The sequence below is a fragment of the Homo sapiens genome, chromosome 5 (genome assembly GCF_000001405.40).
Source record: "Homo sapiens chromosome 5, GRCh38.p14 Primary Assembly".
Taxonomy (NCBI): Eukaryota; Metazoa; Chordata; class Mammalia; order Primates; family Hominidae; genus Homo; species Homo sapiens.
Genome location: NC_000005.10, coordinates 17580549 through 17606351, shown reverse-complemented (window position 1 = coordinate 17606351; position 25803 = coordinate 17580549). Strand labels below are relative to the sequence as shown.

Here is a 25803-nt window from a genome sequence, read left to right as displayed (position 1 = left end):
ATAAAGGTAAAGCAGAGTATGTACAAGTAGAGTGTGGAATAACTTTGTCACTTGTGATGAATCTACTTGGTCTGATACTTTAACAACCTCTCCAATGTCTCTGTACTCAGGTTTGATTTTCTGAGTGGATCATCGGTAGAATGAATGAAATCAAGAATACTCTAAAGCACTGTTTGGAACTAAATTTCAGTGTCTCTGGAAGCACTGATAAAATCACCATGTGTAGCGAACGTGAAGTATCAATAGGCTCTCTCTGTGTCTTTGAAATGGCCCATATGATCGTTACAAATGGCGGCTTGAGCAAAGGTGGTGTTGGAATTGGTTTCTCGCTAGTCTTACGTGATGCATCTATACTATATTGCATTATAATAAAGGAAAGGGTCACTTGCTGACATAAAGCACCATGGGCAGGAATAGAAGAGTCAACTTAGAGAAAAAAAGTGCTTTGTGACTTTATTTTTATTTCTGCAGTTTGGAAAACAGTTTAACTGCTTTTGTGATGACTCACAAAAATACATATGAGCATTGAAAATGTACAGAAGAACAACAATTGGGAAACATTTCTGGAAGCTTCAATTACTGAAACCCAGATATAAGCATACAAGCTAAGACACAGCTACACCAGGCTTCAGCAGGAAACCATACAAATCTCCTGGGAAGGGCTTCCCTCTCTGAATGCAGCTACCTGTCCACAGGATGCTCTAGGCCCAGGCACCTTGATTCTTCCAACTAGAAAGACAGAGAAAAATACCTCAACACACCATTAAAATGTCCAAATATTTAGCCAAGGCTCCTATGAAACAACCTGCTGTCTTCACCTAGGTAAGGTCAACTTCACAGTTTCAGACACTAAGATCGTGGGTAAATCCAGGGTGGACTGAGATAAGGAAGCTCCAGCAAATGCAGTCCTGTCATTGGAAGATGAATGCGATACTTATTCCTGCACAAACAGACCTTTCCCTCTGTCCTTAGGCCTAGAACATGATTTTTTTGTAGTTGCTGTTGGGGAGGATGCCCTTGGGCTTTAACCTGCGAACAGCCTCCCGTAAATGCTTGGGCTGCAGCGGGGGCGTTTCTCCCCACATTTCGCACACGTCCAGGGCCTCTTCCACCACCTCTCCCACAAAGACCTTGGCTATTCCAGCCATGGCAATGGCGGTGTTCTCAGACACCGATCTGCCAGTGATGGACTGCATCAGAGCTGCAATGCGTGCTTTTGGGAAAGCTGACCGGCGACACACTTCGTAGCGAGATAGCTGCTCCTCAGACATGGCAGAAAACAGGGTTGTCATCCTCTGAGCCTCCTCTGCATCCATGGTGGGCTTCCTCTCCTTCTTCCCCTTGGTATCTGTTTTCTGCCTTTTAGCTGAAGGAGGAGTTGAGGCTGACGCTTCATTGTCACCTTCTGTGAGGTCCATGACATCCTGACTCCTGAGCTCACTTTCCTGATCCCTGGGTTCTTCCAAGTTCCCATCTAGGTCCTCAGGGATTCCATCCTTGTTGCTGTACTTCAGACCTCGGGGCATGGGGAACATCTCAGCAGAGGCATCTCTTTGCCTGCCTGTCTCCATGGGTGAGATTCCAGTCTGCTCCGTGACAGCAGCTGTACAGGCAGAAGTTCTGGCTGGGGTGGTTCGATTATGGATCTGCAATGAGAACCTCTCAAAGAGTTTAGCTTCTGTGTTTCTGCTGTGCCAGTTTAACCATAACTGGACACAGCCCCCTGCCTCCCCTTCCCACACACAAACACACACACTGAATGTTCTCACTTCCACAATGTGAAGAAACTTGTGGATGGAGAGTATATTAGTCTTAGATCAATGCAGAATAAATTCTCACCAATTTTGGATATTTAAAACAAACACCAACTCACAGGTCAGAAGTTCTGCTAGGCCAAGTGACTGCCTCCTGCTCAGAGTCACATGAGGGACCTCCAGGATGGGTCTGGCTGTGTGGTCGTCACCTTCACCTGAGAAGGGTCTGGCTTCGATCTCATTCGAGTTAGTGGCAGAATTCAATGTCTTAGGGTTGTGAGCCCTAGGCCCACTTGTTTGTTCTGCCTGCTGCCGTGAGGATGCTCTCAGCTCCTACAAGTGTTGCCCAGGTCTGGGCTGTGAGGCTCCCTGGGTGTGCACAGCCAGTGCTGGGGGAATCTCCACAGGGGAGTGTAATCACAGGGAGGTTCAGTCCTCCCTTATAAAGAGCTCAGATGATTGAATTAGACCCAGCCCTTAGCAGCTATTGGTTCAGGATATCCCTGATCTAATCAGGAAGTCGGGCGGGCACATCAATTCATGCTTCCGCCCACACCCAAGGGAGGGGCAGACACAGGGCGAGTCTCTGAGGGGTGGGAAATGCAGGGGGCATTTCAGAATTCAGTCTTCCTCGCAGAATCACAAAGTTCACATTTCACAACAATAAAGAAAACATTTACATTAAAAATGAGACATATTACGAAGTTGCACAGTAGAAAACTGTCTGAGAAGAAAATCTCTGACTCAGGGAAACAAGTGGTTTACCAGATACTCTGAAAATAGACTAGGCTGGGTGAGGGGAATATGAAAATATTATTTCAATTTTATTTTACTTTATTTTATGTATTTATTTATTTTTGAGACAGTCTCACTCCATCCCCCAGGCTGGATTGCAGTGGCCTGATCTCAGCTCACTGCCGCCTCCGCCTCTTGGGCACAAGCAACTCTCCTGCCTCAGCCTCCAGAGTAGCTGGGACTAAATGTGCACCCCACCACACCGGTATAATTTTTGTATTTTTTAAAGTAGAAAGGACGTTTCACCATTTTGGCCAGGCTGGTCTTGAACCACTTACTTCAAGTGATCTGCCTCCCTTGGTTTCTCAAAATGAAGTGATTACAGGCATGAGCCACTGCGCCCAGACTTCAATTTATATATTACATGTATATGTATACATAGGACACAGAGAAGCATCAAAGAGACATACAATTATGTCATGCACAAAGACATAAATCACATTTAGGGAAAATTATGCTGAGAAATGGCATAAAAAGTACTTCAGAATATAAAGCAGACACTCAAATATCTGACCTTTAAAGAGCTTTTGTTTATTCAAAAATAGTTGGTAGAAGATATGAAATTACTGGCCAGACGTGATGGCTCATACCTGTAATCTCAGTATTTTGGGAGGCCGAGGTGGGTGGATCTCCTGAGATCAGGAGTTTAAGACCAGCCTGGACAACATGGGGAAACCACTCTTTTCCAGCAACACATTGATATCAGAACTTTTTCTTTTCTTTTTATTTTCAATTTTATTATTATTATACTTTAAGTTTTAGGGTACATGTGCATAACGTGCAGATTAGTTACATATGTATGTATGTGCCATGTTGGTGTGCTGCACCAATTAACTCATCATTTAGCATTAGGTATATCTCCTAATGCTATCCCTCCCCCCTCCCCCCACCCCACAACAGTCCCCGGTGTGTGATGTTCCCCTTCCTGTGTCCTTTTGGTAAGACACCAAACTGTGTGTCATCCATGCCAGGAGAGTCCCAGTTATGCCCAGAGACATGCAGCTGGCCCACAGCCTCCGTGGAGAGGGTGCTTAAGAGCCCACACTCCTGGGAAATCTTGCATTGCAAATGGTTTCCTTTGTGTTGTGTTGTGTTTTTCTCTGTTAATGGTTTCTCTTTTGCTGTGTTGTGTTTTCTTTCTGTTAATGATAGATATGATGTTAGAAGTTCTGTTCAGAGATAGTATCGTTTCTCGCATGGGGTCAAAAAGTAGCTAAGCATATGATCGGGAGTAAAAATAGAAGCAGAAGTCACAGCTAGTGACTGTGTTTCCATTTTGTTTTGTTTGTAAACTTCCAAACTACATTGAGGGTCTAATGCATTCATCGAAATGTCTCAGTGAACACGTTTCTGCATATCACATCAAGAAAAATTGTGGAGAAATGAGTTCCTTAATATTATTGAAAATCAAGTAAATGTATAGGTGCCAAATAGACAATGTCTCCTGCAATTGATCAAACGGTGGATGGGATCCACACTTTAACTTTTTCTATATGCAGCTCCATGTTTGCAATGTTCCCTGTCTCACAGACTGCTCCTGCTAGTTTCCTGTGAACACACATTGACCTCTACTTTCTAAAATGTGAAAATACTCTTTATCCACAAGTTGCTTCACATTACAGGAGGCAGAAAAACCACTGTAGGTCTGTTTGTGGGTGAAAAAGGGAGAGAGGCAGCCTTTAGAAGTCCGATGCAGTCCATCACCAGCAGTTCAGTGTCCTAGAACGTAGTCACAGCCGTAGCCATGGCTGGAATGACCCAGGTCTTGGTCCACGAGCTGGTAGGAGAGGCGCTGGACATGTGTGAGATGTGGGGAGACATATCCCTGCTGCAACCCAAGCATTGCAGCGAGGCCTTACACAGGGGACAGCCCAGGGCCCATTCCCCCAACATCGAGAAAAAAAAAAAAAAACCCATCTTCCTCCAGATCCCAGCCCAGATAGAAAGGCCTGATTTTAGAGGAGAAAGTACTGCTTCTAGTCTTTCTATGAGAGCACACTTTCTATGCTGGAGCTTCAGTATCTCAGCCCATCCTGGACTTACCCGTAATTTAACGTCTTTCTTACATTTTACATTGGTTACACCCAGATGAAGGCAGCAGCCTGTTTGATCATCCCTTTCAATCATATTTGTATCTCAGACCATGCACAGTGGCTTATTCCTGTTATCCCACCATTTTGGGTGGCCGAACTGGCAGATCACTTGAACTCGAGTTCCAGACCGCCTCCCTTAAAAAAAAAAAAAAAAAAAAAAAAAAGAGCTGGGCATGGTCACTAGTTCCTGCTGTTTCACCTACTCATTCTGGAGTGTGTGGTAGGAGAATCGCTGGTGCACCAGAGGTGGAGGTTGCAGTAAGTAGAGATGGCGCCACTGCCCTCACACCTGGCCAACAGGGTGAGACCCTGTCTCAAAATTAGTAACAATCATCACCATCATATTTGGAACTCTGAGGTCCACGCATGCTAAGGCATTGTTCTGGGGCATCCTGGTTGGGAGAAGAATGGTACACGAGCCTCGAGCATCGTGTGAATGGTGAGCTGTTTTTACAAAGAAAAAGGAAACTCTTTTCAGAGACTATGATGAAATCACACTGTATCCTGAAGTTGCTATGACTTAGGATGTTTTTGCTTCTATATGACTTGTAGGAGATAAAACAGAGTCTTCCCTTATAATACTTTTTCCTGAAGGCCCTGGCTTTCTAAAAGCATTGGAATAGATCCCCTTATAAACATTTGTACTTTTCATAACTTTGTCTGGGGAATCAACTGTTTTTGAGCTTGCAAAAAAAAAACAATTGAATTAAATACCAGATTTTCCTCTACGATGATTTTTTTCACGTTCTGGCCAAAATTGTTTCATGTCAGAGAGCGATCTTTGAGGATGCTGGAATAGTAACACACTCTAGGAGCCAGATGGAAAACTAGACAGAGAAACAAAGACCCCAGAAACCCTGTCTAACCTCTGCATTCATTTCCACACCTTCACCTCCAAAGAACTGGTCCCAAAGTAACCTTTGTTTATGACTGAAATAACATATTGATCTCTGTTTTGTCCTTCTTTAAAACAGAAATGCATATAATAATATTATATTTTATTCTAGATAATATTCTATTTTTACTTTATTTTTCAAATGATTATATAAGAAATACAGAAATAAAAAACAAAATTTTCTCTCTCTGTAGGATTTGACCATTGGATATTTTGTACAATTGAACCCTACTTGTCATTATATGAACAAGTAATTGATCAAATATCTTGAAAATAAGATAAACTCTAATAAACATATAGCAACAATAAAATGGAGTTCCAGTTTTCAGGATGGCCCATAAAAAAGATTCCATGTCATTACTCTGTCTTAACAATCAGTAAAAAACTGAAAAAGTAAAGAATCTATATCTCTTTGACATCTGTCTGAGTGGTGCTGTCATAGGGCAAACCATAGAGAAAATTAAAAAATCCATGCCTTCCTTGTTTCAAAATATTCTATCAAGCGGTAGGAACAAAAATGGCATAAGAATGGCATCGAAACAGAAATCAAAGCCGATGGAACAGAGCAGAGAGCCCAGAAATCACTCGAAATGTGTACAGCCAATTACAGTTTTACAAATGCGCCAACAACACACAATGACAAAAGGACAGTCTCTTCCATCAGTGGTGATAGGAAACTGGGTATCTACCGGCAGTAAAATGAAATTGGGCCCTAATCTCTTACCATACACAAGAATCAAACAAACTATAGTCAAAACTTTAAACTGTGAACCTACTAGAAGGAAACAGGGGACATCCTCATTGACATTGGTTACGCCAATAATTTTTGAAATATGTCCCAAACGCATAGGCAGCACAAGGGAAAATAGACAAATGGATTGCATCCAAATGAAAAAAAAAATTCTACACAGTAAAAGAAATAATTAACACCATGAAGAGACAAAATCATCATGAGAAAAAATACTTGCAAACACTATATCCAATAAGGGATTAATTAGTTACTGTTCAAAATATACCATGAACTCAAAGGACTCAACAGCAAGAAACAACACAATTTTAAAACTGGGCAAAGGACCTAAATAATAGACATCTCGGGAGAGAAGATATACAAGTGACCAGCAGGCATATATATATACTCGACGTCACCAATCTTCAGAGAAACACATATAAAAACTAAAAGAAGACATCACCTCACAAATAAAATAAAATAAAATAAAATAAAGTGACGTAAAATAAAATTGAAATAATATTTTCACGTTTCCCTCACCCAGCCCATTTTATTTGCAGAGTATTTGATAAACCGCTTTCTTCCCTGTGCGTTAGAGAGTTTTTTTCTCAGACATCGAAGTTTTCTAATGCTCAACTTCGTAAAATGTCTCATTTTTACTGTAAATAGTTTCTTTACTGTTGTGAGATGTGAACTTTGCGATTCTGTGAAGAGGACTGAATTCTGAAATGCCCCCTGCATTTCCCGCCCCTCGGAGAGTCGCCCTGTGTCTGCCCCTCCCTTGGGTGTGGGCGGAAGCACGAATTGATGTGCCCGCCCGACTTCCTCATTAGATTGGGGGGTATCCTGAACCAACGGCTGCTAAGGGCTGGGTCTAATCCAGTCATCTGAGCCCTTTATAAGGGAGGACTGAACCCCCCTGTGATTACGCTCCCCTGTGGGAGATTCCCCAGCACTGGCTGTGCACACCCAGGGAGCCTCACGGCCCAGACCTGGGCAGCACGGGTAGGAGCTGAGAGCATCCTCACGGCAGCAGGCAGAACAAACAAGTGGGCCTGGGGCTCGCAACCCTGAGGCATTGTTGAATTCTGCCACCAACTCGAATCGGATCGAAGCCAGACCCTTCTCAGGTGGAGGCAACGACCGCACAGCCAGACCCATCCTGGAGGTCCCTCGTGGGACTCTGAGCAGGAGGCAGTCACTTGGCCTAGCAGAACTTCTGACCTGTGAGCTGGTGTTTGTTTTAAATACCCCAAATTGGTGAGAATTCGTTCTGCATTGACCTAAAACTAACATACTCTCCTTCCACAAGTTTCTTCACACTGTGGAAGCGAGAAAATTCAGTGTGTGTGTTTGTGTGTGGGAAGGGGCGGCCGGGAGCCGTGTCCGGTTACGGCGAAACTGGCTCAGCAGAAACACAGCAGCTAAAATCTTTGAAAGGTTCTCATCGCAGATCCACAATCAAACCACCCCAGCCGGAACTTCTGCCTGTACAGCTGCTGTCACGGAGCAGACTTGAATCTCACCCATGGAGACCGGCAGGCAAACAGGTGTGTCTGCTGAGATGCTCGCCATGCCCCGAGGTCTGAAGGGCAGCAAGAAGGATGGAATCCCTGAGGACCTAGACGGGAACTTGGAAGCACCCCAGGATCAGGAAGTGAGCTCAGAGTGAGATTCCCCAGCACTGGATTGTGTCCACCCAGGGATCCTCTCGGCCCAGACATTGGGCAGCACGGGTAGGAGCTGAGAGCATCCTCACGGCAGCAGGCAGAACAAAAAAGTGGGCCTGGGGCTCGCAACCCTGAGGCATTGTTGAATTCTGCCACCAACTCGAATCGGATCGAAGCCAGACCCTTCTCAGGTGGAGGCAACGACCGCACAGCCAGACCCATCCTGGAGGTCCCTCGTGGGACTCTGAGCAGGAGGCAGTCACTTGGCCTAGCAGAACTTCTGACCTGTGAGCTGGTGTTTGTTTTAAATACCCAAAATTGGTGAGAATTCGTTCTGCATTGACCTAAAACTAACATACTCTCCTTCCACAAGTTTCTTCACACTGTGGAAGCGAGAAAATTCAGTGTGTGTGTTTGTGTGTGGGAAGGGGCGGCCGGGAGCCGTGTCCGGTTACGGCGAAACTGGCTCAGCAGAAACACAGCAGCTAAAATCTTTGAAAGGTTCTCATCGCAGATCCACAATCAAACCACCCCAGCCGGAACTTCTGCCTGTACAGCTGCTGTCACGGAGCAGACTTGAATCTCACCCATGGAGACCGGCAGGCAAACAGGTGTGTCTGCTGAGATGCTCGCCATGCCCCGAGGTCTGAAGGGCAGCAAGAAGGATGGAATCCCTGAGGACCTAGACGGGAACTTGGAAGCACCCAGGGATCAGGAAGGTGAGCTCAGGAGTGAGGATGTCATGGACCTCACAGAAGGTGACAGTGAGGCCTCAGCCTCAGCTCCTCCTGCAGCCAAAAGACGGAAAACACATACGAAAGGCAAGAAGGAGAGCAAGCCCACCGTGGATGCGGAGGAGGCTCAGAGGATGACAACCCTGCTGTCTGCCATGTCTGAGGAGCAGCTGTCCCGCTACGAAGTGTGTCGCCGGTCAGCGTTCCCGAGAGCACGCGTTGCGGGTCTGATGCGGGCTATCACTGGCAGTTCGGTGTCGGAGAACGCGGCCATTGCCATGGCTGGAATAGCCAAGCTCTTTGTTGGAGAGGTGGTGGAAGAGGCCCTGGACGTGTGTGAGATGTGGGGAGAGACGCCCCCGCTGCAGCCCAAGCATTTAAGGGAGGCCGTTCGCAGGTTAAAGCCCAAGGGCCTCTTCCCCAACAGCAACTGCAAAAGAATCATGTTCTAGGCCCAGGGCCAGAGGGCAGGGTCTGTTTGTGCAGGAATAAGTACCGCGTTCATCTTCCAATGACAGGAGTGTGTGCGCCGGAGCTCCCGCATCTCAGTCCCACCTGGATTTACCCACGATCTTCGTGTCTTAAAATGCGAAGTTGCCCTTACCTGGATGAAGACAGCAGATCGCTTCACAGGAGCCTTGGCTAAATCTTTGGGCATTTTAATGGGATGTGGAGGCGTTTCTCTATGTCTTTCCAGCTGGAGGAATCAAGGTGCCTGGGCCTAGAGCATCCCGTGGACAGGCAGCTGCATTCAGAGAGGGAAGCCCTTCCCAGGAGATCTGTATGGTTTCCTGCTGAAGCCTGGTGTAGCTCTGTCTTAGCTTGTAGGCTTATGTCTGGGTTCCAGTAATTGGAGCTTGCAGAAATGTTTCCCCGATTGTTGTTCTTCTGTAGAATTTCAACGCTCATATGTATTTTTGTGAGTCACCACGAAAACAGTTAAACTGATCAACCGTTTTCCAAACTGCAGACACCAAATTGAAATCACAAAGCACTTTCTTTTTTTCCCCTAAGTTGACTCTTCTATTCCTGCCTGCTGTGCTTTATGTCAGCAAGTGACCCTTTCCTGTATTATAATGCAGTATAGTATAGATGCATCATGTAAGACCAGAGAGAAACCGATTCCAAAACCACCTTTCCTCAAGCCGCCGTTTGCAACGACCATATGGGGGGTTTGAAGGACACAGAGAGAGCCTATTGACACTTCACTTTCGCTACACGTGGTGATTTTTCCAGTGCTTCCGGAGACACTGAAATTTAGTTCCAAACATTGCCTTAGAGGATTCTGCATTTTATTCATTCTACCGATGATCCACTCAGAAAATCAAACCTGAGTACGGAGACATTGGAGAAGTCGTTAAAGTATTGGACCAAGTCGGTTCGTCACGAGTGACAAAGTTATTCCACACTCTACTTGTACATACTCTGCTTTGCCTTCAGGATGGCAAAGAGTAATTTTTCGCTATAGAGTAAAAACCCGAGATTTATTACGGAATCAGCGTGAACCTTCCCAGCACAGCTCACAGAGCATACGCCAAAAATTACAGTGTGATTCAGTTTCAAAAATTGTCTGTAGTGACCTGTGAATTCACAGCTCGTGAGGACATTCTTTAGTTCGGCTGAAGCCAAAAAACCTGGAACCATCGAAATGGGAAGAAGTGGAGTCTGCCAAATTCTGCCTCTTACACTTTCAGCTACCACGCCATGTTCAACTATTGTACTTGATAAGGATTGGAAATTTAAGGTACTGATAATTTCAACAGAGTTTCACCAGAGTAGTATTTCTTGTGAGAAAGCCATGATCTCATCAGTAACGCCTTTCTAAAAGATCCAACAGAAAATATGAACTAGCAACTCATCCTGACAAGGAAGTAAAACTCAGGAAAAATCCTAAGGCAGAGCAGCGTCAGGCTTCAGTGTGAAACTATCATAGTCTGGGCGCGGTGGCTCACGCCTATAGTCCCTTCGCTTTGGGAAGCCAAGGTGGGGCAGATCACCTGAAGTCAGCAGTTCAAGACCAGCCTGGGCAAAATGGCGAGACCTCGTCTCTACTTGAGCAAATACAAAAATTTGCCCGGCGTGGTAGCGCGCACATTTAGTCCCAGCCACTCTGGAGGCTGAGGCAGGAGAATCCGTTGAGCCTAGGATGCCGAGGCTGCAGTGGGCTGAGATGAGGCCGCTGTAATCCAGCCTGGGGGACAGAGCGAGGCACTGTCTCAGAAATAAACAAATAAAATAAAATAAACTAAAATAAAGTGACGTAAAATAAAATTGAAATAATATTTTCACGTTTCCCTCACCCAGCCCATTTTATTTTCAGAGTATTGGATAAACCGCTTTCTTCCCTGTGCGTTAGAGAGTTTTTTTTCTCAGACATCGAAGTTTTCTAATGCTCAACTTCGTAAAATGTCTCATTTTTACTGTAAATAGTTTCTTTACTGTTGTGAGATGTGAACTTTGCGATTCTGTGAAGAGGACTGAATTCTGAAATGCCCCCTGCATTTCCCGCCCCTCGGAGAGTCGCCCTGTGTCTGCCCCTCCCTTGGGTGTGGGCGGAAGCACGAATTGATGTGCCCGCCCGACTTCCTCATTAGATTGGGGGGTATCCTGAACCAACGGCTGCTAAGGGCTGGGTCTAATCCAGTCATCTGAGCCCTTTATAAGGGAGGACTGAACCCCCCTGGGATTACGCTCCCCTGTGGGAGATTCCCCAGCACTGGCTGTGCACACCCAGGGAGCCTCACGGCCCAGACCTGGGCAGCACGGGTAGGAGCTGAGAGCATCCTCACGGCAGCAGGCAGAACAAACAAGTGGGCCTGGGGCTCGCAACCCTGAGGCATTGTTGAATTCTGCCACCAACTCGAATCGGATCGAAGCCAGACCCTTCTCAGGTGGAGGCAACGACCGCACAGCCAGACCCATCCTGGAGGTCCCTCGTGGGACTCTGAGCAGGAGGCAGTCACTTGGCCTAGCAGAACTTCTGACCTGTGAGCTGGTGTTTGTTTTAAATACCCAAAATTGGTGAGAATTCGTTCTGCATTGACCTAAAACTAACATACTCTCCTTCCACAAGTTTCTTCACACTGTGGAAGCGAGAAAATTCAGTGTGTGTGTTTGTGTGTGGGAAGGGGCGGCCGGGAGCCGTGTCCGGTTACGGCGAAACTGGCTCAGCAGAAACACAGCAGCTAAAATCTTTGAAAGGTTCTCATCGCAGATCCACAGTCAAACCACCCCAGCCGGAACTTCTGCCTGTACAGCTGCTGTCACGGAGCAGACTTGAATCTCACCCATGGAGACCGGCAGGCAAACAGGTGTGTCTGCTGAGATGCTCGCCATGCCCCGAGGTCTGAAGGGCAGCAAGAAGGATGGAATCCCTGAGGACCTAGACGGGAACTTGGAAGCACCCAGGGATCAGGAAGGTGAGCTCAGGAGTGAGGATGTCATGGACCTCACAGAAGGTGACAGTGAGGCCTCAGCCTCAGCTCCTCCTGCAGCCAAAAGACGGAAAACACATACGAAAGGCAAGAAGGAGAGCAAGCCCACCGTGGATGCGGAGGAGGCTCAGAGGATGACAACCCTGCTGTCTGCCATGTCTGAGGAGCAGCTGTCCCGCTACGAAGTGTGTCGCCGGTCAGCGTTCCCGAGAGCACGCGTTGCGGGTCTGATGCGGGCTATCACTGGCAGTTCGGTGTCGGAGAACGCGGCCATTGCCATGGCTGGAATAGCCAAGCTCTTTGTTGGAGAGGTGGTGGAAGAGGCCCTGGACGTGTGTGAGATGTGGGGAGAGACGCCCCCGCTGCAGCCCAAGCATTTAAGGGAGGCCGTTCGCAGGTTAAAGCCCAAGGGCCTCTTCCCCAACAGCAACTGCAGAAGAATCATGTTCTAGGCCCAGGGCCAGAGGGCAGGGTCTGTTTGTGCAGGAATAAGTACCGCGTTCATCTTCCAATGACAGGAGTGTGTGCGCCGGAGCTCCCGCATCTCAGTCCCACCTGGATTTACCCACGATCTTCGTGTCTTAAAATGCGAAGTTGCCCTTACCTGGATGAAGACAGCAGATCGCTTCATAGGAGCCTTGGCTAAATCTTTGGGCATTTTAATGGGATGTGGAGGCGTTTCTCTATGTCTTTCCAGCTGGAGGAATCAAGGTGCCTGGGCCTAGAGCATCCTGTGGACAGGCAGCTGCATTCAGAGAGGGAAGCCCTTCCCAGGAGATCTGTATGGTTTCCTGCTGAAGCCTGGTGTAGCTCTGTCTTAGCTTGTAGGCTTATGTCTGGGTTCCAGTAATTGGAGCTTGCAGAAATGTTTCCCCGATTGTTGTTCTTCTGTAGAATTTCAACGCTCATATGTATTTTTGTGAGTCACCACGAAAACAGTTAAACTGATCAACCGTTTTCCAAACTGCAGACACCAAATTGAAATCACAAAGCACTTTCTTTTTTTCCCCTAAGTTGACTCTTCTATTCCTGCCTGCTGTGCTTTATGTCAGCAAGTGACCCTTTCCTGTATTATAATGCAGTATAGTATAGATGCATCATGTAAGACCAGAGAGAAACCGATTCCAAAACCACCTTTCCTCAAGCCGCCGTTTGTAACGACCATATGGGCGGTTTGAAGGACACAGAGAGAGCCTATTGACACTTCACTTTCGCTACACGTGGTGATTTTTCCAGTGCTTCCGGAGACACTGAAATTTAGTTCCAAACATTGCCTTAGAGGATTCTTCATTTTATTCATTCTACCGATCATCCACTCAGAAAATCAAACCTGAGTACGGAGACATTGGAGAAGTCGTTAAAGTATTGGACCAAGTCGGTTCGTCACGAGTGACAAAGTTATTCCACACTCTACTTGTACATACTCTGCTTTGCCTTCATGATGGCAAAGAGTAATTTTTCGCTATAGAGTAAAAACCCGAGATTTATTACGGAATCAGCGTGAACCTTCCCAGCACAGCTCACAGAGCATACGCCAAAAATTACAGTGTGATTCAGTTTCAAAAATTGTCTGTAGTGACCTGTGAATTCACAGCTCGTGAGGACATTCTTTAGTTCGGCTGAAGCCAAAAAACCTGGAACCATCGAAATGGGAAGAAGTGGAGTCTGCCAAATTCTGCCTCTTACACTTTCAGCTACCACGCCATGTTCAACTATTGTACTTGATAAGGATTGGAAACTTAAGGTACTGATAATTTCAACAGAGTTTCACCAGAGTAGTATTTCTTGTGAGAAAGCCATAATCTCATCAGTAACGCCTTTCTAAAAGATCCAACAGAAAATATGAACTAGCAACTCATCCTGACAAGGAAGTAAAACTCAGGAAAAATCCTAAGGCAGAGCAGCGTCAGGCTTCAGTGTGAAACTATCATAGTCTGGGCGCGGTGGCTCACGCCTATAGTCCCTTCACTTTGGGAAGCCAAGGTGGGGCAGATCACCTGAAGTCAGCAGTTCAAGACCAGCCTGGCCAAAATGGCGAGACCTCGTCTCTACTTGAGCAAATACAAAAATTTGCCCGGCGTGGTAGCGCGCACATTTAGTCCCAGCCACTCTGGAGGCTGAGGCAGGAGAATCCGTTGAGCCTAGGATGCCGAGGCTGCAGTGGGCTGAGATGAGGCCGCTATAATCCAGCCTGGGGGACAGAGCGAGGCACTGTCTCAGAAATAAACAAATAAAATAAAATAAACTAAAATAAAGTGACGTAAAATAAAATTGAAATAATATTTTCACGTTTCCCTCACCCAGCCCATTTTATTTTCAGAGTATTTGATAAACCGCTTTCTTCCCTGTGCGTTAGAGAGTTTTTTTTCTCAGACATCGAAGTTTTCTAATGCTCAACTTCGTAAAATGTCTCATTTTTACTGTAAATACTTTCTTTACTGTTGTGAGATGTGAACTTTGCGATTCTGTGAAGAGGACTGAATTCTGAAATGCCCCCTGCATTTCCCGCCCCTCAGAGAGTCGCCCTGTGTCTGCCCCTCCCTTGGGTATGGGCGGAAGCACGAATTGATGTGCCCGCCCGACTTCCTCATTAGATTGGGGGGTATCCTGAACCAACGGCTGCTAAGGGCTGGGTCTAATGCAGTCATCAGAGCCCTTTATAAGGGAGGACTGGACCCCCCTGTGATTACGCTCCCCTGTGGGAGATTCCCCAGCACTGGCTGTGCACACCCAGGGAGCCTCACGGCCCAGACCTGGGCAGCACGGGTAGGAGCTGAGAGCATCCTCACGGCAGCAGGCAGAACAAAAAAGTGGGCCTGGGGCTCGCAACCCTGAGGCATTGTTGAATTCTGCCACCAACTCGAATCGGATCGAAGCCAGACCCTTCTCAGGTGGAGGCAACGACCGCACAGCCAGACCCATCCTGGAGGTCCCTCGTGGGACTCTGAGCAGGAGGCAGTCACTTGGCCTAGCAGAACTTCTGACCTGTGAGCTGGTGTTTGTTTTAAATACCCAAAATTGGTGAGAATTCGTTCTGCATTGACCTAAAACTAACATACTCTCCTTCCACAAGTTTCTTCACACTGTGGAAGCGAGAAAATTCAGTGTGTGTGTTTGTGTGTGGGAAGGGGCGGCCGGGAGCCGTGTCCGGTTACGGCGAAACTGGCTCAGCAGAAACACAGCAGCTAAAATCTTTGAAAGGTTCTCATCGCAGATCCACAATCAAACCACCCCAGCCGGAACTTCTGCCTGTACAGCTGCTGTCACGGAGCAGACTTGAATCTCACCCATGGAGACCGGCAGGCAAACAGGCGTGTCTGCTGAGATGCTCGCCATGCCCCGAGGTCTGAAGGGCAGCAAGAAGGATGGAATCCCTGAGGACCTAGACGGGAACTTGGAAGCACCCAGGGATCAGGAAGGTGAGCTCAGGAGTGAGGATGTCATGGACCTCACAGAAGGTGACAGTGAGGCCTCAGCCTCAGCTCCTCCTGCAGCCAAAAGACGGAAAACACATACGAAAGGCAAGAAGGAGAGCAAGCCCACCGTGGATGCGGAGGAAGCTCAGAGGATGACAACCCTGCTGTCTGCCATGTCTGAGGAGCAGCTGTCCCGCTACGAAGTGTGTCGCCGGTCAGCGTTCCCGAGAGCACGCGTTGCGGGTCTGATGCGGGCTATCACTGGCAGTTCGGTGTCGGAGAACGCGGCCATTGCCATGGCTGGAATAGCCAAGCTCTTTGTTGGAGAGGTGGTGGAAGAGGCACTGGACGTGTGTGAGATGTGGGGAGAGACGCCCCCGCTGCAGCCCAAGCATTTAAGGGAGGCCGTTCGCAGGTTAAAGCCCAAGGGCCTCTTCCCCAACAGCAACTGCAAAAGAATCATGTTCTAGGCCCACGGCCAGAGGGCAGGGTCTGTTTGTGCAGGAATAAGTACCGCGTTCATCTTCCAATGACAGGAGTGTGTGCGCCGGAGCTCCCGCATCTCAGTCCCACCTGGATTTACCCACGATCTTCGTGTCTTAAAATGCGAAGTTGCCCTTACCTGGATGAAGACAGCAGATCGCTTCATAGGAGCCTTGGCTAAATCTTTGGGCATTTTAATGGGATGTGGAGGCGTTTCTCTATGTCTTTCCAGCTGGAGGAATCAAGGTGCCTGGGCCTAGAGCATCCCGTGGACAGGCAGCTGCATTCAGAGAGGGAAGCCCTTCCCAGGAGATCTGTATGGTTTCCTGCTGAAGCCTGGTGTAGCTCTGTCTTAGCTTGTAGGCTTATGTCTGGGTTCCAGTAATTGGAGCTTGCAGAAATGTTTCCCCGATTGTTGTTCTTCTGTAGAATTTCAACGCTCATATGTATTTTTGTGAGTCACCACGAAAACAGTTAAACTGATCAACCGTTTTCCAAACTGCAGACACCAAATTGAAATCACAAAGCACTTTCTTTTTTTCCCCTAAGTTGACTCTTCTATTCCTGCCTGCTGTGCTTTATGTCAGCAAGTGACCCTTTCCTGTATTATAATGCAGTATAGTATAGATGCATCATGTAAGACCAGAGAGAAACCGATTCCAAAACCACCTTTCCTCAAGCCGCCGTTTGCAACGACCATATGGGGGGTTTGAAGGACACAGAGAGAGCCTATTGACACTTCACTTTCGCTACACGTGGTGATTTTTCCAGTGCTTCCGGAGACACTGAAATTTAGTTCCAAACATTGCCTTAGAGGATTCTTCATTTTATTCATTCTACCGATCATCCACTCAGAAAATCAAACCTGAGTACGGAGACATTGGAGAAGTCGTTAAAGTATTGGACCAAGTCGGTTCGTCACGAGTGACAAAGTTATTCCACACTCTACTTGTACATACTCTGCTTTGCCTTCATGATGGCAAAGAGTAATTTTTCGCTATAGAGTAAAAACCCGAGATTTATTACGGAATCAGCGTGAACCTTCCCAGCACAGCTCACAGAGCATACGCCAAAAATTACAGTGTGATTCAGTTTCAAAAATTGTCTGTAGTGACCTGTGAATTCACAGCTCGTGAGGACATTCTTTAGTTCGGCTGAAGCCAAAAAACCTGGAACCATCGAAATGGGAAGAAGTGGAGTCTGCCAAATTCTGCCTCTTACACTTTCAGCTACCACGCCATGTTCAACTATTGTACTTGATAAGGATTGGAAACTTAAGGTACTGATAATTTCAACAGAGTTTCACCAGAGTAGTATTTCTTGTGAGAAAGCCATAATCTCATCAGTAACGCCTTTCTAAAAGATCCAACAGAAAATATGAACTAGCAACTCATCCTGACAAGGAAGTAAAACTCAGGAAAAATCCTAAGGCAGAGCAGCGTCAGGCTTCAGTGTGAAACTATCATAGTTTGGGCGCGGTGGCTCACGCCTATAGTCCCTTCACTTTGGGAAGCCAAGGTGGGGCAGATCACCTGAAGTCAGCAGTTCAAGACCAGCCTGGCCAAAATGGCGAGACCTCGTCTCTACTTGAGCAAATACAAAAATTTGCCCGGCGTGGTAGCGCGCACATTTAGTCCCAGCCACTCTGGAGGCTGAGGCAGGAGAATCCGTTGAGCCTAGGATGCCGAGGCTGCAGTGGGCTGAGATGAGGCCGCTATAATCCAGCCTGGGGGACAGAGCGAGGCACTGTCTCAGAAAATAAACAAAATAAAATAAAATAAACTAAAATAAAGTGACGTAAAATAAAATTGAAAATAATATTTTCACGTTTCCCTCACCCAGCCCATTTTATTTTCAGAGTATTTGATAAACCGCTTTCTTCCCTGTGCGTTAGAGAGTTTTTTTTCTCAGACATCGAAGTTTTCTAATGCTCAACTTCGTAAAATGTCTCATTTTTACTGTAAATACTTTCTTTACTGTTGTGAGATGTGAACTTTGCGATTCTGTGAAGAGGACTGAATTCTGAAATGCCCCCTGCATTTCCCGCCCCTCAGAGAGTCGCCCTGTGTCTGCCCCTCCCTTGGGTATGGGCGGAAGCACGAATTGATGTGCCCGCCCGACTTCCTCATTAGATTGGGGGGTATCCTGAACCAACGGCTGCTAAGGGCTGGGTCTAATGCAGTCATCAGAGCCCTTTATAAGGGAGGACTGGACCCCCCTGTGATTACGCTCCCCTGTGGGAGATTCCCCAGCACTGGCTGTGCACACCCAGGGAGCCTCACGGCCCAGACCTGGGCAGCACGGGTAGGAGCTGAGAGCATCCTCACGGCAGCAGGCAGAACAAACAAGTGGGCCTGGGGCTCGCAACCCTGAGGCATTGTTGAATTCTGCCACCAACTCGAATCGGATCGAAGCCAGACCCTTCTCAGGTGGAGGCAACGACCGCACAGCCAGACCCATCCTGGAGGTCCCTCGTGGGACTCTGAGCAGGAGGCAGTCACTTGGCCTAGCAGAACTTCTGACCTGTGAGCTGGTGTTTGTTTTAAATACCCAAAATTGGTGAGAATTCGTTCTGCATTGACCTAAAACTAACATACTCTCCTTCCACAAGTTTCTTCACACTGTGGAAGCGAGAAAATTCAGTGTGTGTGTTTGTGTGTGGGAAGGGGCGGCCGGGAGCCGTGTCCGGTTACGGCGAAACTGGCTCAGCAGAAACACAGCAGCTAAAATCTTTGAAAGGTTCTCATCGCAGATCCACAATCAAACCACCCCAGCCGGAACTTCTGCCTGTACAGCTGCTGTCACGGAGCAGACTTGAATCTCACCCATGGAGACCGGCAGGCAAACAGGTGTGTCTGCTGAGATGCTCGCCATGCCCCGAGGTCTGAAGGGCAGCAAGAAGGATGGAATCCCTGAGGACCTAGACGGGAACTTGGAAGCACCCAGGGATCAGGAAGGTGAGCTCAGGAGTGAGGATGTCATGGACCTCACAGAAGGTGACAGTGAGGCCTCAGCCTCAACTCCTCCTGCAGCCAAAAGACGGAAAACACATACGAAAGGCAACAGAGTTTCACCAGAGTAGTATTTCTTGTGAGAAAGCCATAATCTCATCAGTAACGCCTTTCTAAAAGATCCAACAGAAAATATGAACTAGCAACTCATCCTGACAAGGAAGTAAAACTCAGGAAAAATCCTAAGGCAGAGCAGCGTCAGGCTTCAGTGTGAAACTATCATAGTTTGGGCGCGGTGGCTCACGCCTATAGTCCCTTCACTTTGGGAAGCCAAGGTGGGGCAGATCACCTGAAGTCAGCAGTTCAAGACCAGCCTGGCCAAAATGGCGAGACCTCGTCTCTACTTGAGCAAATACAAAAATTTGCCCGGCGTGGTAGCGCGCACATTTAGTCCCAGCCACTCTGGAGGCTGAGGCAGGAGAATCCGTTGAGCCTAGGATGCCGAGGCTGCAGTGGGCTGAGATGAGGCCGCTGTAATCCAGCCTGGGGGACAGAGCGAGGCACTGTCTCAGAAATAAACAAATAAAATAAAATAAAATAAAATAAAGTGACGTAAAATAAAATTGAAATAATATTTTCACGTTTCCCTCACCCAGCCCATTTTATTTTCAGAGTATTTGATAAACCGCTTTCTTCCCTGTGCGTTAGAGAGTTTTTTTTCTCAGACATCGAAGTTTTCTAATGCTCAACTTCGTAAAATGTCTCATTTTTACTGTAAATAGTTTCTTTACTGTTGTGAGATGTGAACTTTGCGATTCTGTGAAGAGGACTGAATTCTGAAATGCCCCCTGCATTTCCCGCCCCACAGAGAGTCGCCCTGTGTCTGCCCCTCCCTTGGGTGTGGGCGGAAGCACGAATTGATGTGCCCGCCCGACTTCCTCATTAGATTGGGGGGTATCCTGAACCAATGGCTGCTAAGGGCTGGGTCTAATGCAGTCATCTGAGCCCTTTATAAGGGAGGACTGGACCCCCCTGTGATTACGCTCCCCTGTGGGAGATTCCCCAGCACTGGCTGTGCACACCCAGGGAGCCTCACGGCCCAGACCTGGGCAGCACGGGTAGGAGCTGAGAGCATCCTCACGGCAGCAGGCAGAACAAACAAGTGGGCCTGGGGCTCGCAACCCTGAGGCATTGTTGAATTCTGCCACCAACTCGAATCGGATCGAAGCCAGACCCTTCTCAGGTGGAGGCAACGACCGCACAGCCAGACCCATCCTGGAGGTCCCTCGTGGGACTCTGAGCAGGAGGCAGTCACTTGGCCTAGCAGAACTTCTGACCTGTGAGCTGGTGTTTGTTTTAAATACCCAAAATTGGTGAGAATTCGTTCTGCATTGACCTAAAACTAACATACTCTCCTTCCACAAGTTTCTTCACACTGTGGAAGCGAGAAAATTCAGTGTGTGTGTTTGTGTGTGGGAAGGGGCGGCCGGGAGCCGTGTCCGGTTACGGCGAAACTGGCTCAGCAGAAACACAGCAGCTAAAATCTTTGAAAGGTTCTCATCGCAGATCCACAATCAAACCACCCCAGCCGGAACTTCTGCCTGTACAGCTGCTGTCACGGAGCAGACTTGAATCTCACCCATGGAGACCGGCAGGCAAACAGGCGTGTCTGCTGAGATGCTCGCCATGCCCCGAGGTCTGAAGGGCAGCAAGAAGGATGGAATCCCTGAGGACCTAGACGGGAACTTGGAAGCACCCAGGGATCAGGAAGGTGAGCTCAGGAGTGAGGATGTCATGGACCTCACAGAAGGTGACAGTGAGGCCTCAGCCTCAGCTCCTCCTGCAGCCAAAAGACGGAAAACACATACGAAAGGCAAGAAGGAGAGCAAGCCCACCGTGGATGCGGAGGAGGCTCAGAGGATGACAACCCTGCTGTCTGCCATGTCTGAGGAGCAGCTGTCCCGCTACGAAGTGTGTCGCCGGTCAGCGTTCCCGAGAGCACGCGTTGCGGGTCTGATGCGGGCTATCACTGGCAGTTCGGTGTCGGAGAACGCGGCCATTGCCATGGCTGGAATAGCCAAGCTCTTTGTTGGAGAGGTGGTGGAAGAGGCCCTGGACGTGTGTGAGATGTGGGGAGAGACGCCCCCGCTGCAGCCCAAGCATTTAAGGGAGGCCGTTCGCAGGTTAAAGCCCAAGGGCCTCTTCCCCAACAGCAACTGCAAAAGAATCATGTTCTAGGCCCAGGGCCAGAGGGCAGGGTCTGTTTGTGCAGGAATAAGTACCGCGTTCATCTTCCAATGACAGGAGTGTGTGCGCCGGAGCTCCCGCATCTCAGTCCCACCTGGATTTACCCACGATCTTCGTGTCTTAAAATGCGAAGTTGCCCTTACCTGGATGAAGACAGCAGATCGCTTCATAGGAGCCTTGGCTAAATCTTTGGGCATTTTAATGGGATGTGGAGGCGTTTCTCTATGTCTTTCCAGCTGGAGGAATCAAGGTGCCTGGGCCTAGAGCATCCCGTGGACAGGCAGCTGCATTCAGAGAGGGAAGCCCTTCCCAGGAGATCTGTATGGTTTCCTGCTGAAGCCTGGTGTAGCTCTGTCTTAGCTTGTAGGCTTATGTCTGGGTTCCAGTAATTGGAGCTTGCAGAAATGTTTCCCCGATTGTTGTTCTTCTGTAGAATTTCAACGCTCATATGTATTTTTGTGAGTCACCACGAAAACAGTTAAACTGATCAACCGTTTTCCAAACTGCAGACACCAAATTGAAATCACAAAGCACTTTCTTTTTTTCCCCTAAGTTGACTCTTCTATTCCTGCCTGCTGTGCTTTATGTCAGCAAGTGACCCTTTCCTGTATTATAATGCAGTATAGTATAGATGCATCATGTAAGACCAGAGAGAAACCGATTCCAAAACCACCTTTCCTCAAGCCGCCGTTTGTAACGACCATATGGGCGGTTTGAAGGACACAGAGAGAGCCTATTGACACTTCACTTTCGCTACACGTGGTGATTTTTCCAGTGCTTCCGGAGACACTGAAATTTAGTTCCAAACATTGCCTTAGAGGATTCTTCATTTTATTCATTCTACCGATGATCCACTCAGAAAATCAAACCTGAGTACGGAGACATTGGAGAAGTCGTTAAAGTATTGGACCAAGTCGGTTCGTCACGAGTGACAAAGTTATTCCACACTCTACTTGTACATACTCTGCTTTGCCTTCATGATGGCAAAGAGTAATTTTTCGCTATAGAGTAAAAACCCGAGATTTATTACGGAATCAGCGTGAACCTTCCCAGCACAGCTCACAGAGCATACGCCAAAAATTACAGTGTGATTCAGTTTCAAAAATTGTCTGTAGTGACCTGTGAATTCACAGCTCGTGAGGACATTCTTTAGTTCGGCTGAAGCCAAAAAACCTGGAACCATCGAAATGGGAAGAAGTGGAGTCTGCCAAATTCTGCCTCTTACACTTTCAGCTACCACGCCATGTTCAACTATTGTACTTGATAAGGATTGGAAACTTAAGGTACTGATAATTTCAACAGAGTTTCACCAGAGTAGTATTTCTTGTGAGAAAGCCATAATCTCATCAGTAACGCCTTTCTAAAAGATCCAACAGAAAATATGAACTAGCAACTCATCCTGACAAGGAAGTAAAACTCAGGAAAAATCCTAAGGCAGAGCAGCGTCAGGCTTCAGTGTGAAACTATCATAGTCTGGGCGCGGTGGCTCACGCCTATAGTCCCTTCACTTTGGGAAGCCAAGGTGGGGCAGATCACCTGAAGTCAGCAGTTCAAGACCAGCCTGGCCAAAATGGCGAGACCTCGTCTCTACTTGAGCAAATACAAAAATTTGCCCGGCGTGGTAGCGCGCACATTTAGTCCCAGCCACTATGGAGGCTGAGGCAGGAGAATCCGTTGAGCCTAGGATGCCGAGGCTGCAGTGGGCTGAGATGAGGCCGCTATAATCCAGCCTGGGGGACAGAGCGAGGCACTGTCTCAGAAATAAACAAATAAAATAAAATAAACTAAAATAAAGTGACGTAAAATAAAATTGAAATAATATTTTCACGTTTCCCTCACCCAGCCCATTTTATTTTCAGAGTATTTGATAAACCGCTTTCTTCCCTGTGCGTTAGAGAGTTTTTTTTCTCAGACATCGAAGTTTTCTAATGCTCAACTTCGTAAAATGTCTCATTTTTACTGTAAATACTTTCTTTACTGTTGTGAGATGTGAACTTTGCGATTCTGTGAAGAGGACTGAATTCTGAAATGCCCCCTGCATTTCCCGCCCCTCAGAGAGTCGCCCTGTGTCTGCCCCTCCCTTGGGTATGGGCGGAAGCACGAATTGATGTGCCCGCCCGACTTCCTCATTAGATTGGGGGGTATCCTGAACCAACGGCTGCTAAGGGCTGGGTCTAATGCAGTCATCAGAGCCCTTTATAAGGGAGGACTGGACCCCCCTGTGATTACGCTCCCCTGTGGGAGATTCCCCAGCACTGGCTGTGCACACCCAGGGAGCCTCACGGCCCAGACCTGGGCAGCACGGGTAGGAGCTGAGAGCATCCTCACGGCAGCAGGCAGAACAAAAAAGTGGGCCTGGGGCTCGCAACCCTGAGGCATTGTTGAATTCTGCCACCAACTCGAATCGGATCGAAGCCAGACCCTTCTCAGGTGGAGGCAACGACCGCACAGCCAGACCCATCCTGGAGGTCCCTCGTGGGACTCTGAGCAGGAGGCAGTCACTTGGCCTAGCAGAACTTCTGACCTGTGAGCTGGTGTTTGTTTTAAATACCCCAAATTGGTGAGAATTCGTTCTGCATTGACCTAAAACTAACATACTCTCCTTCCACAAGTTTCTTCACACTGTGGAAGCGAGAAAATTCAGTGTGTGTGTTTGTGTGTGGGAAGGGGCGGCCGGGAGCCGTGTCCGGTTACGGCGAAACTGGCTCAGCAGAAACACAGCAGCTAAAATCTTTGAAAGGTTCTCATCGCAGATCCACAATCAAACCACCCCAGCCGGAACTTCTGCCTGTACAGCTGCTGTCACGGAGCAGACTTGAATCTCACCCATGGAGACCGGCATGCAAACAGTGTGTCTGCTGATATGCTCGCCATGCCCCGATCATCCACTCAGAAAATCAAACCTGAGTACGGAGCCATTGGAGAAGTCGTTAAAGTATTGGACCAAGTCGGTTCGTCACGAGTGACAAAGTTATTCCACACTCTACTTGTACATACTCTGCTTTGCCTTCATGATGGCAAAGAGTAATTTTTCGCTATAGAGTAAAAACCCGAGATTTATTACGGAATCAGCGTGAACCTTCCCAGCACAGCTCACAGAGCATACGCCAAAAATTACAGTGTGATTCAGTTTCAAAAATTGTCTGTAGTGACCTGTGAATTCACAGCTCGTGAGGACATTCTTTAGTTCGGCTGAAGCCAAAAAACCTGGAACCATCGAAATGGGAAGAAGTGGAGTCTGCCAAATTCTGCCTCTTACACTTTCAGCTACCACGCCATGTTCAACTATTGTACTTGATAAGGATTGGAAACTTAAGGTACTGATAATTTCAACAGAGTTTCACCAGAGTAGTATTTCTTGTGAGAAAGCCATAATCTCATCAGTAACGCCTTTCTAAAAGATCCAACAGAAAATATGAACTAGCAACTCATCCTGACAAGGAAGTAAAACTCAGGAAAAATCCTAAGGCAGAGCAGCGTCAGGCTTCAGTGTGAAACTATCATAGTTTGGGCGCGGTGGCTCACGCCTATAGTCCCTTCACTTTGGGAAGCCAAGGTGGGGCAGATCACCTGAAGTCAGCAGTTCAAGACCAGCCTGGCCAAAATGGCGAGACCTCGTCTCTACTTGAGCAAATACAAAAATTTGCCCGGCGTGGTAGCGCGCACATTTAGTCCCAGCCACTCTGGAGGCTGAGGCAGGAGAATCCGTTGAGCCTAGGATGCCGAGGCTGCAGTGGGCTGAGATGAGGCCGCTATAATCCAGCCTGGGGGACAGAGCGAGGCACTGTCTCAGAAATAAACAAATAAAATAAAATAAAATAAAATAAAGTGACGTAAAATAAAATTGAAATAATATTTTCACGTTTCCCTCACCCAGCCCATTTTATTTTCAGAGTATTTGATAAACCGCTTTCTTCCCTGTGCGTTAGAGAGTTTTTTTTCTCAGACATCGAAGTTTTCTAATGCTCAACTTCGTAAAATGTCTCATTTTTACTGTAAATAGTTTCTTTACTGTTGTGAGATGTGAACTTTGCGATTCTGTGAAGAGGACTGAATTCTGAAATGCCCCCTGCATTTCCCGCCCCACAGAGAGTCGCCCTGTGTCTGCCCCTCCCTTGGGTGTGGGCGGAAGCACGAATTGATGTGCCCGCCCGACTTCCTCATTAGATTGGGGGGTATCCTGAACCAATGGCTGCTAAGGGCTGGGTCTAATGCAGTCATCTGAGCCCTTTATAAGGGAGGACTGAACCCCCCTGTGATTACGCTCCCCTGTGGGAGATTCCCCAGCACTGGCTGTGCACACCCAGGGAGCCTCACGGCCCAGACCTGGGCAGCACGGGTAGGAGCTGAGAGCATCCTCACGGCAGCAGGCAGAACAAACAAGTGGGCCTGGGGCTCGCAACCCTGAGTCATTGTTGAATTCTGCCACCAACTCGAATCGGATCGAAGCCAGACCCTTCTCAGGTGGAGGCAACGACCGCACAGCCAGACCCATCCTGGAGGTCCCTCGTGGGACTCTGAGCAGGAGGCAGTCACTTGGCCTAGCAGAACTTCTGACCTGTGAGCTGGTGTTTGTTTTAAATACCCCAAATTGGTGAGAATTC

At 47.7% G+C, this 25803-nt stretch overlaps 5 protein-coding genes across 6 annotated transcripts, besides 10 other annotated features; 4 read left to right on the top strand and 1 right to left on the bottom strand.

Annotated features, from left to right (window-relative positions):
• Nucleotides 1-441: 441 nt before the first annotated feature.
• On the bottom strand, nt 442-2169 carry TAF11L11 (TATA-box binding protein associated factor 11 like 11). 2 transcript variants are annotated; one of them, NM_001423534.1, is made up of 2 exons: nt 1874-2169; nt 442-1646 (listed from the first exon to the last, which is right to left on the bottom strand). In NM_001423534.1, exon 2 carries the CDS (start codon nt 1569-1571, stop codon nt 975-977), a length of 597 nt encoding a protein of 198 aa, NP_001410463.1. In that variant the 5' UTR covers nt 1572-1646; nt 1874-2169; the 3' UTR covers nt 442-974. The 2 variants fall into 2 exon arrangements, with proteins under 2 accessions (NP_001410463.1, NP_001388619.1); NM_001401690.2 differs by having other exon boundaries at nt 442-2169.
• Nucleotides 6744-7326: an enhancer, noted in NCBI's record as "OCT4-H3K27ac-H3K4me1 hESC enhancer chr5:17599135-17599717 (GRCh37/hg19 assembly coordinates)". NCBI's record gives its function as "activates a minimal SCP1, AML or CMV promoter by ChIP-STARR-seq in primed H9 embryonic stem cells {active_cell/tissue: H9 hESC(primed)}" and the evidence as "EXISTENCE:reporter gene assay evidence [ECO:0000049][PMID:30033119]".
• Nucleotides 7327-7909: an enhancer, noted in NCBI's record as "OCT4-H3K27ac-H3K4me1 hESC enhancer chr5:17598552-17599134 (GRCh37/hg19 assembly coordinates)". NCBI's record gives its function as "activates a minimal SCP1, AML or CMV promoter by ChIP-STARR-seq in primed H9 embryonic stem cells {active_cell/tissue: H9 hESC(primed)}" and the evidence as "EXISTENCE:reporter gene assay evidence [ECO:0000049][PMID:30033119]".
• Nucleotides 8210-8786: an enhancer, noted in NCBI's record as "OCT4-H3K27ac-H3K4me1 hESC enhancer chr5:17597675-17598251 (GRCh37/hg19 assembly coordinates)". NCBI's record gives its function as "activates a minimal SCP1, AML or CMV promoter by ChIP-STARR-seq in primed H9 embryonic stem cells {active_cell/tissue: H9 hESC(primed)}" and the evidence as "EXISTENCE:reporter gene assay evidence [ECO:0000049][PMID:30033119]".
• Nucleotides 8524-9120, top strand: TAF11L10 (TATA-box binding protein associated factor 11 like 10). Its single transcript, NM_001401685.1, has one exon. The coding sequence runs from the start codon at nt 8524-8526 to the stop codon at nt 9118-9120; it is 597 nt and encodes a 198-aa protein (NP_001388614.1).
• Nucleotides 10909-11584: an enhancer, noted in NCBI's record as "H3K27ac-H3K4me1 hESC enhancer chr5:17594877-17595552 (GRCh37/hg19 assembly coordinates)". NCBI's record gives its function as "activates a minimal SCP1, AML or CMV promoter by ChIP-STARR-seq in naive H9 embryonic stem cells {active_cell/tissue: H9 hESC(naive)}" and the evidence as "EXISTENCE:reporter gene assay evidence [ECO:0000049][PMID:30033119]".
• Nucleotides 11585-12258: an enhancer, noted in NCBI's record as "OCT4-H3K27ac-H3K4me1 hESC enhancer chr5:17594203-17594876 (GRCh37/hg19 assembly coordinates)". NCBI's record gives its function as "activates a minimal SCP1, AML or CMV promoter by ChIP-STARR-seq in primed H9 embryonic stem cells {active_cell/tissue: H9 hESC(primed)}" and the evidence as "EXISTENCE:reporter gene assay evidence [ECO:0000049][PMID:30033119]".
• Nucleotides 11958-12554, top strand: TAF11L9 (TATA-box binding protein associated factor 11 like 9). The gene has a single exon (NM_001401693.1). It carries the CDS (start codon nt 11958-11960, stop codon nt 12552-12554), a length of 597 nt encoding a protein of 198 aa, NP_001388622.1.
• Nucleotides 12259-12934: an enhancer, noted in NCBI's record as "OCT4-H3K27ac-H3K4me1 hESC enhancer chr5:17593527-17594202 (GRCh37/hg19 assembly coordinates)". NCBI's record gives its function as "activates a minimal SCP1, AML or CMV promoter by ChIP-STARR-seq in primed H9 embryonic stem cells {active_cell/tissue: H9 hESC(primed)}" and the evidence as "EXISTENCE:reporter gene assay evidence [ECO:0000049][PMID:30033119]".
• On the top strand, nt 15392-15988 carry TAF11L8 (TATA-box binding protein associated factor 11 like 8). The gene has a single exon (NM_001401681.1). The coding sequence runs from the start codon at nt 15392-15394 to the stop codon at nt 15986-15988; it is 597 nt and encodes a 198-aa protein (NP_001388610.1).
• Nucleotides 18685-19621: an enhancer, noted in NCBI's record as "H3K27ac-H3K4me1 hESC enhancer chr5:17586840-17587776 (GRCh37/hg19 assembly coordinates)". NCBI's record gives its function as "activates a minimal SCP1, AML or CMV promoter by ChIP-STARR-seq in primed H9 embryonic stem cells {active_cell/tissue: H9 hESC(primed)}" and the evidence as "EXISTENCE:reporter gene assay evidence [ECO:0000049][PMID:30033119]".
• Nucleotides 20559-21496: an enhancer, noted in NCBI's record as "OCT4-H3K27ac-H3K4me1 hESC enhancer chr5:17584965-17585902 (GRCh37/hg19 assembly coordinates)". NCBI's record gives its function as "activates a minimal SCP1, AML or CMV promoter by ChIP-STARR-seq in naive and primed H9 embryonic stem cells {active_cell/tissue: H9 hESC(naive and primed)}" and the evidence as "EXISTENCE:reporter gene assay evidence [ECO:0000049][PMID:30033119]".
• Nucleotides 20594-21190, top strand: TAF11L7 (TATA-box binding protein associated factor 11 like 7). Its single transcript, NM_001401679.1, has one exon. It carries the CDS (start codon nt 20594-20596, stop codon nt 21188-21190), a length of 597 nt encoding a protein of 198 aa, NP_001388608.1.
• Nucleotides 22327-23272: an enhancer, noted in NCBI's record as "H3K27ac-H3K4me1 hESC enhancer chr5:17583189-17584134 (GRCh37/hg19 assembly coordinates)". NCBI's record gives its function as "activates a minimal SCP1, AML or CMV promoter by ChIP-STARR-seq in primed H9 embryonic stem cells {active_cell/tissue: H9 hESC(primed)}" and the evidence as "EXISTENCE:reporter gene assay evidence [ECO:0000049][PMID:30033119]".
• Nucleotides 23273-24219: an enhancer, noted in NCBI's record as "OCT4-H3K27ac-H3K4me1 hESC enhancer chr5:17582242-17583188 (GRCh37/hg19 assembly coordinates)". NCBI's record gives its function as "activates a minimal SCP1, AML or CMV promoter by ChIP-STARR-seq in primed H9 embryonic stem cells {active_cell/tissue: H9 hESC(primed)}" and the evidence as "EXISTENCE:reporter gene assay evidence [ECO:0000049][PMID:30033119]".